The 7,495-nt window shown below is 52.1% G+C and overlaps 1 annotated feature.

The window, feature by feature from the left end:
* Positions 5,171-5,270: a silencer, noted in NCBI's record as "silent region_18434". NCBI's record gives its function as "represses an Ori minimal core promoter by ATAC-STARR-seq in GM12878 lymphoblastoid cells {active_cell/tissue: GM12878}" and the evidence as "EXISTENCE:reporter gene assay evidence [ECO:0000049][PMID:35858748]".

The raw sequence follows: 7,495 nt of genomic DNA, 5'->3' as shown, positions 1-7,495 counted from the left end.
GGCAGGGCCGGGTGAAGGCTGCAGCCTAGGAGCTGGGTGAGGGATTTGGCCTGGCACCGTGGGAATAAGGACCTAGAGGGAGGCTGTGGCAATTTGGAAGGAGGTTGGAGGGCAACGGAGACAACAAGAAGGGAGACCCAGCAGCCTCAGGTCCCCTCTCGGAGTAGCCAAGCCACATGAAGGTGCAGAGGTGGCTCTCCAGGAAAAAGCAGGGTTGTTTCACAAAAGCAACAGCAAGGCCGGGCACGGTGACTCATGCCTATAATCCCAGCACCTTGGGAGACTGAGGCGGGAGGATTGCTTGAGCTCAGGAGTTTGAGACCAGCCTGGGCAACATAACAAGACCTTATCTCTTAAAACATCTTTTTCACATGGTGAAACCCCGTTTCTACTAAAAATACAAAAAATTAGCTGGGTGTGGTGGCATGTGTCTATAATCCCAGCTACTTGGGAGGCTGAGACAGAATAATTTGAACCCGGGAGGCAGAGGTTGCAATGAGGTGAGATTGCACCAGTGCACTCCAGCCTGGGCAACAGAGTGAGACTCTATCTCAGAAAAAAAAAAAAAAAGAAAGAGAAAAGAAAGGTCATGTAGCTTTCATTCTGCACATGTTACACAGCAGGTGTTCAACACATGAGTTAAGTGACTTCACTGGGAATCAGTCCTGAGTGAAGCCTAAAGTCAAAGCCTGCTTTCAGGTTTTCAGGCGGGGCCTCAAAACAGACTAATAAAGAGCAGCTCATGTCTGGAGTTTTCAATCACCAATTATTCATCACGTCTCTATTATCTGCCAGGAACCCTTCTGGGGGTGAATGGTGTTGGTGCAGGATCTGAGTCCCAGGAAGCCCTGAGATTTAATGGGTCCTGAGGTTTGGAGTAGTACCTAGCTGTCTAACATCCGGGATCAGCCCCTCCGAGTCTTTAGAGATGAGCTCCTCATCGCTGGGGACCTGAGGTTTCAGTGAGAGGAGGGGAGGGGAGAGTAGGACGAAGCTGGGCCTCTGAGGGTCACTGGTAAAATAGCCTTGCAAGTAGCTACAGGCCCAGGAGCTCATCCAGGCTTGACGCTGTGGGCTTGTGGAAAGGAATACTGCTCTCGTTTGTCTTTGGCTTCTTCAGCTCTTGGGAGTGGAAGGGAAATTAAGGAAGGTGGGTTCAGCCAGCAACCAAGGCACATCCCATCACTCTCTCCTTCCCCAGATCTGGAGCCCTGTCTAGGCTTGGCTGAGCAGGCACAGGCAGACTTGTGGGAGAGGAAGGAAAGGGGTGGGCAGAAGGAAGCTGCCTCTTGATGACAGTTTTTTTGTGTGTTTTTTTGAGATGGAGTCTCACTCTATCGCCAAGGCTGGAGTGCAGTGGTGTGATCTCGGCTCATTGCAACCTCCGCCCGTGGGGTTCAAGTGGTTCTCCTGCCTCAGCCTCTGGAGTAGCTGGGATTACAGGTGCTTGCCACCACACCCATGTAACCGTTTTTGTTTTTTGGTTTTTTTTTTTTTTTTTTTGAGACAGAGTCTCACTCTGTCACCCAGGCTGTAGTGCAGTGGCATGATCTCCGCTGACGGCAAGCTCCGCCTCCCGGGTTCACACCATTCTCCTGCCTCAGCCTCCTGAGTAGCTGGGATTACAGGTACATGCCACCACGCCCGGCTAATTTTTTTTCGTATTTTTAGTAGAGAACGGGGTTTCACCATGTTAGCCAGGATCGTCTTGATCTCCTGACCTCGTGATCCGCCTGCCTTGGCCTCCCAAAGTGCTGGGATTACAGGCATGAGCCACCGCGCCTGGCCACACCCGGCTAACTTTTGTATTTTTAGTAGAGACAGGGTCTCACCATGTTGTCCAGGCTGGTCTTGCACTCCTGACCTCAGATGATCCACCTGTCTCAGCTCCCCGAAGTGCTAGGATTACAGGCGTGAGCCACTGCACCCGGCCAGTGGTTTTTGTTTTTTAGAGACAGGGTCTGGCTCTGTTGCCCAGGCTGGAGGGCAGTGGCGCAATCATGGCTCACTGCAGCCTCCAACTCCTGGACTCAAGCGATCCTCCCACCACAGCCTCCCGAATAGCTGAAACTACAGGTGTATGCCACCATGCCCAGCTAATTCTTTTTTAATATTTGTGGCGATGGGTTCTAGCTATGTTGCCCAGTCTGGTCTCAAACTCCTGGCCTCAAGCAATCCTCCTACCTCGGCCTCCCAAAGTGCTGGGATTACAGGTGTGAACCACTGCACCCAGCTAGGAATGTCATTTTGGAAGTGATAAAGAATACCATGTGCAGGAAGTAGTAGGAGGAGCCCTTGATGCGGAGTCAAGAGACCTTGGTCCTAGTCTCAATATTGCTACTACTTTGCTGTACGACTCTTATTTTTATTTTTTATTTATTTTTGAGACAGAGTCTCGCTCAGTTGGCCAGACAGGAGGACAGTGGCACAATCATAGCTCACTATAGCCTCCATCTCCTGGTCAATCCTCCTGCTTCTGCCTCCCAAAGGGCTGGGATCGCAGGCACTTGGTGATTTTTGAGAGTCACTTTCCTTCACTGAGACTCAAGCTCCTTAAATAAAATGATGACTTGATGGCTGGGCACAGTGGCTCACACCTGTAATCCCAGCACTTTGGGAGGCTGAGGTGGGTGGATCACCTGACGTCAGGAGTTCGAGACCAGCCTGGCTAACATGACGAAACCCTCTACTAAAAATACAAAAATTGGCTGGGCATGGTGGCTCACGCCTGTAATCCCAGCACTTTGGGAGGCCGAGGTGGGAGGATCACGAGGTCAGGAGATCGAGACCATCCTGGCTAACACGGTGAAACCCCGTCTCTACTAAAAATACAAAAAATTAGCTGGGCGTGGTAGCCGGCACCTGTAGCCCTAGCTACTTGGAAGGCTGAGGCAGGAGAATGGTGTCAACCTGGGAGGCGGAGCTTGCAGTGAGCTGAGATCTTGCCACTGCACTCTGGTCTGGGTGACAGAGTGAGACTCCATCTCAAAAAAAGAAAAAAAAATTAGCTGGGCATGGTGGCGCGCACCTGTCATCCCAGCTACTCGGGAGGCTGAGACAGGAGAATTGCTTGAACCTGGGAGGCAGAGGTTGCAGTGAGCTGAGATCACGCCACTGAACTCCAGCCTGGGCGATAGAATCAGACTCTGTCTTCAAAAAATAAAAATAAAAATAACAAACTTCCTCAGGCTTCAGGGAGTGTTGAGTTAACCTGCAGAAACAAGGTAAGTTCCTGGGAGGTGCTAACTAGCAGTTGCCGGAGACAGAACCAGCCCAGCCTTTGGGCTCACAAAGACCAGGTTCAAATTCTGCCTTTCCTGGCTGTGTGACCTTCAGCAAGTGAATTAACCTGTCTGAATCTCTGTCTCAAAAGCAAGGCTCTGTCTCAAGAAAAAAAAAAAAGGAAAATAAATGAAATAGTTATTAGAGTGTGGTCCTGGACCAGAGCATCGCATTCCCCAGAGAGTAGTAGAAATTCAAACTCCAGGCCCTGCACCGCAGACCTACTGAATCAAAAACCCTAGGATGGGGGCCAGCAATCTGTTTGAACACGCCTGCTGAAGTTTGGGAATCACTGCCACACTGCATGGGAATGTAGACTGTTGGGATTCTGAAGCTTAGGACATATCACAATCTCCTGAGAGCTTGTTAAAAACACAGATTCCAGGCCGGGCATGGTGGCTCACACCTGTAATCCCAGCACTTTGGGAGGCTGAGGCAGGTGGATCACGAGGTCAGGAGATGGAGACCATTCTGGCTAACGCAGTGAAACCCCGTCTCTACTAAAAATACGAAAAATTAGCCAGGCGTGGCGGCACTCACCTGTAGTCCCAGCTACTTGGGAGGCTGAGGCAGGAGAATTGCTTGAACCCGGGAGGTAGAGGTTGTAGTGAGTGGAGATTGCACCACTGCACTCCAGCCCGGTGACAGGGCGAGACTCTGTCTCAAAAAAATAAAACAAAAACAAAAAATAAAATAAGAAAAAAAAAACACAGATTCCAGGCCATGAACGGTGGCTCACGCCTGTAATCTCAGCACTTTGGGAGGCCAAGGCGGGTGGATCACCTGAGGTCAGGAGTTCAAGACCAGCCTGGTCAACATGGTGAAACCCTGTCTCTACAAAAATATAAAAATTAGCTGGGCATGATGGCAGGTGCCTGTAATCTCACCTATCTGGGAGGCTGAGGCAGGAGAATCGCTTGAACCTGGGAGGCAGAGGTTGCAGTGAGCCGAGATCAAGCCACTGCACTCCAGCCTGGGCAGCAGAGCAAGACTCCGTCTGAAAAAAAAAAAAAAACCCACAGATTCCAACTGGGTGTGGTGGCTCATGCCTGTAATCTTAGCACTTTGGGAGTCCAAGGTGGCAGGATCACTTGAGCCCAGGAGTTTGAGGCCAGCCTGGGCTACATAGCCAGACCCCATCTCTACAAAACAAACAGACAAAAAAGAAAAGTAGCTGCTGGTGGTGGTGGTATGTGCCTGTGGTCCCAGCTGCTCGGGAGGCTGAGGTGGAGGATGGCTTGAGCCCAGGAGTTTGAGGCTGCAGTGAACCATGATGATGCCGCTGCACTCCAGCCTGGGCAACAGAGCGAGAGCCTGTCTCAAACCAGACAAGACAAAACAAAACAAAAACCAGATTTTTGGCCTCAAAGTCAGAAACTGAGGTGGGGTCTGGGAATCCTTTTTTTTTTTTTTTTTTTGAGATGGGGTCTCACTCTGTTGCCCAAGCTGGAGTGCAGTGGCACAATCTCGGCTCACTGCAACCTCCGCCTCCCGGGTTCAAGCGATTCTCCTGCCTCAGCCTCCAGAGTAGCTGGGATTACAGGCGTGCACCACCACGCCCGGCTAATTTTTATATTTTTAGTAGAGACGGGGTTTCACCATGTTGGCCAGGCTGGTCTCGAACTCTTGACCTCGGGTGATCTGACCACTTCGGCCTCCCAAAGTGTTGGGATTACAGGCATGAGCCACCACGCCCGCTGGAATCGATATTTTAACCGGAGATGAGTTTTATTGGGGTGGGGGGTGCCCCGGAGGCTGCACTGCGGGGAGATCACAGAAGGCACCTTGGGGTATTGGAGACTCTGGCCTGGGGGACTGAGGACTCCCCTTGGGTGGAGGAGGGGAGATGCAGCTGGAGAGAGGACACCTGGACACCTGCCCAATCCAGTGACGTCAGCCTCGTCTGCTGTCAGAAGGGGGCGGGGCCTCGGGGGCGGAGTCTCTCCCGCCTCAGCCCTCGGTCTAGTCTGGCCACCTTCCCAGTCTGGTGGGTGCAGGTGGGGAGAAGCCTGGGTCTGGGGGCAACAAGCGCGGGTAAGACCTGTAGGGGGCCAGCTAGGGACGCCAGCGGGGGCCGGGTGGTCGGGCGTGGCGGCCGCGGCGAAGCTGGGGGACTTGAACAGCCTGTCTCGTCTTGGTCCTGACCTCCAGGTGGCGCCGCGGTGCGCGGACCGGCGTTAAGGTCGCGTCGCCCTTGGCCTCTGGCTGGGGAAGCCCCTACGGCCTAATGGGGGTGGTGGAGGAACTGCTAGAGGGGCTCTAGGCCATAGCCGGGAACAGAGAGACCTCCCTATGTGAGCCCCCGGAGACCCTGACCGCGGGCTCTGCCGCTCCTCCCAGCACCCCTACGACATTAGCCGATGGGGGAGCCGACATTAGCGGATGGATTCTTAAACACTAAAGGGTCTCCAGAGCATAAAATGGGCACTGGTGACACTGCTTCCACGGGACGGTTAGTTTCTAGTGAAAACAGCTTCTCCACTGCGCATGATGGCTCATGTCTGTAATCCTGACATTTCGGGAGGCCAAGGTAGGGAGAACTGCTTGAGCCCAGGAGTTCAAGACCAGCCTGGGCAATATAGTGAGACCCCATCTGTCGCTTTTTTTTTTTTTTTTGAGACGGAGTCTTGCTCTGTCGCCCAGGATGGAATGCGGTGGCGCGATCTCGGCTCATTGCAACCTCCACCTCCCAGGTTCAAGCGATTGTCGTGCCTCAGCCTCCCGAGTAGCTGAGATTACAGGCATGTGCCACCACGCCCAGCTCATTTTTTTGTATTTTTAGTAGAGAGATGGGGTTTCACCATGTTGGCCAGGCTGGTCTGGAACTCCTGACCTTAAATAATCCACCTGCTTTGGCCTCCCAAAGTGCTGGGGTTACAGGCGTGAGCCACTGCGCCCAACCATGAGACCCTATTTCTAAAAAAAATAATTTTAGGCCGGGTGCGGTAGCTCACGCCGGTAATCCCAGCACTTTGGGAGGCGGAGGAGGGTGGATCACCTGAGATCAGGAGTTCCTGACCAACCTGGCCAACATGGTGAAACCCTGTCTCTACTAAAAATACAAAAATCAGCCGGGCATGGTAGTGGGCGCCTGTAATCGCAGCTACTAAGGAGGCTGAGGCAGGAGAATCGCTTGAAACCGGGAGGCAAAGGTTACAGTGAGCCGAGATTGCGCCACTGCACTCCGCCTGGGCAACAGAATGAGACTCCGTCTCAAAAAAAAAAAAAAAGAAAAGAAAAGAAAAGAAAAAATAAATAATAATTAAATTAACTGGCCATAGTGCCATGCACCTAAAAGTCCCAGCTACTTGGGAGGCTGAGGTGGGAGAATTGCTTGAGTCCAGGAGTTAGAGGCTGCAGTGAGCTGTGATTGCATCACTGCACTCCAGCCTGGTTAACAGAGCAAGACCTTGTCTCAAAACAAAACAAAATTCAACAAAACAAATCCTGCCTCATCCGATTCTTGGCCAGGACACACTGGTGTGGAAACCCTCCTTCCCCACCAAGTTCGCATCCTGCCCGGCCCCCCGGGTTCCACCTGCAGCCACTCTATCCCTCTAGCCCAGAACTAACCCAGCCTCCACCCCTTGTCGTCCCTTTGTTTTCAGGATAACCTGAAATCCTAGCACTTTTGGAATAAACCTGTAATCCTAGCACTTTGGGAGTCCAAGGTGGCAGGATCGCTTGAGCCCAGGAGTTTGAAGCCAGCCTGGGCTACATAGCCAGACCTCATCTCTACAAAACACTCCCTGTGCCCTGGCCTTTCCTCAGCCTGGGGGCCAGTAGAAAAAGTGTGGGGCATTTCGAGGTTTTTCTCAGGTTGAAGGACTGGCAAGGTGTGTCTGTGGTAGTAACTTGTGGGGAAGGGACTGGGCCCTGATTCTCAGGGCTCTGCTTTGAGCCTAGGCTATATTTTATTTAATTTTAATATTTATTTATTTGTTTGTTTTGTTTTGTTTTTAGTTGTTTGAGAAGGAGTTTCGCTCTTGTTGCCCAGGCTGGAGTGCAGTGGCGTGATCTCGGCTCATTGCAACCTCTGCCTCCCAGGTTCAAGCGATTCTCCTGCCTCAGCCTCCCGAGTACCTGTGATTACAGGCATCTGCCACCACACTCCGCTAATTTTTGTATTTTTAGTGGAGACGGGGTTTCACCATGTTGGCAAGGCTGGTCTCAAACTCCTGATCTCAGGTGATCTACCACCTTAGTTAGCCTC

This window comes from Homo sapiens, chromosome 7 (genome assembly GCF_000001405.40).
Source record: "Homo sapiens chromosome 7, GRCh38.p14 Primary Assembly".
NCBI classification, from domain to species: Eukaryota; Metazoa; Chordata; class Mammalia; order Primates; family Hominidae; genus Homo; species Homo sapiens.
This window is presented reverse-complemented; position numbering and strand designations above follow the sequence as displayed.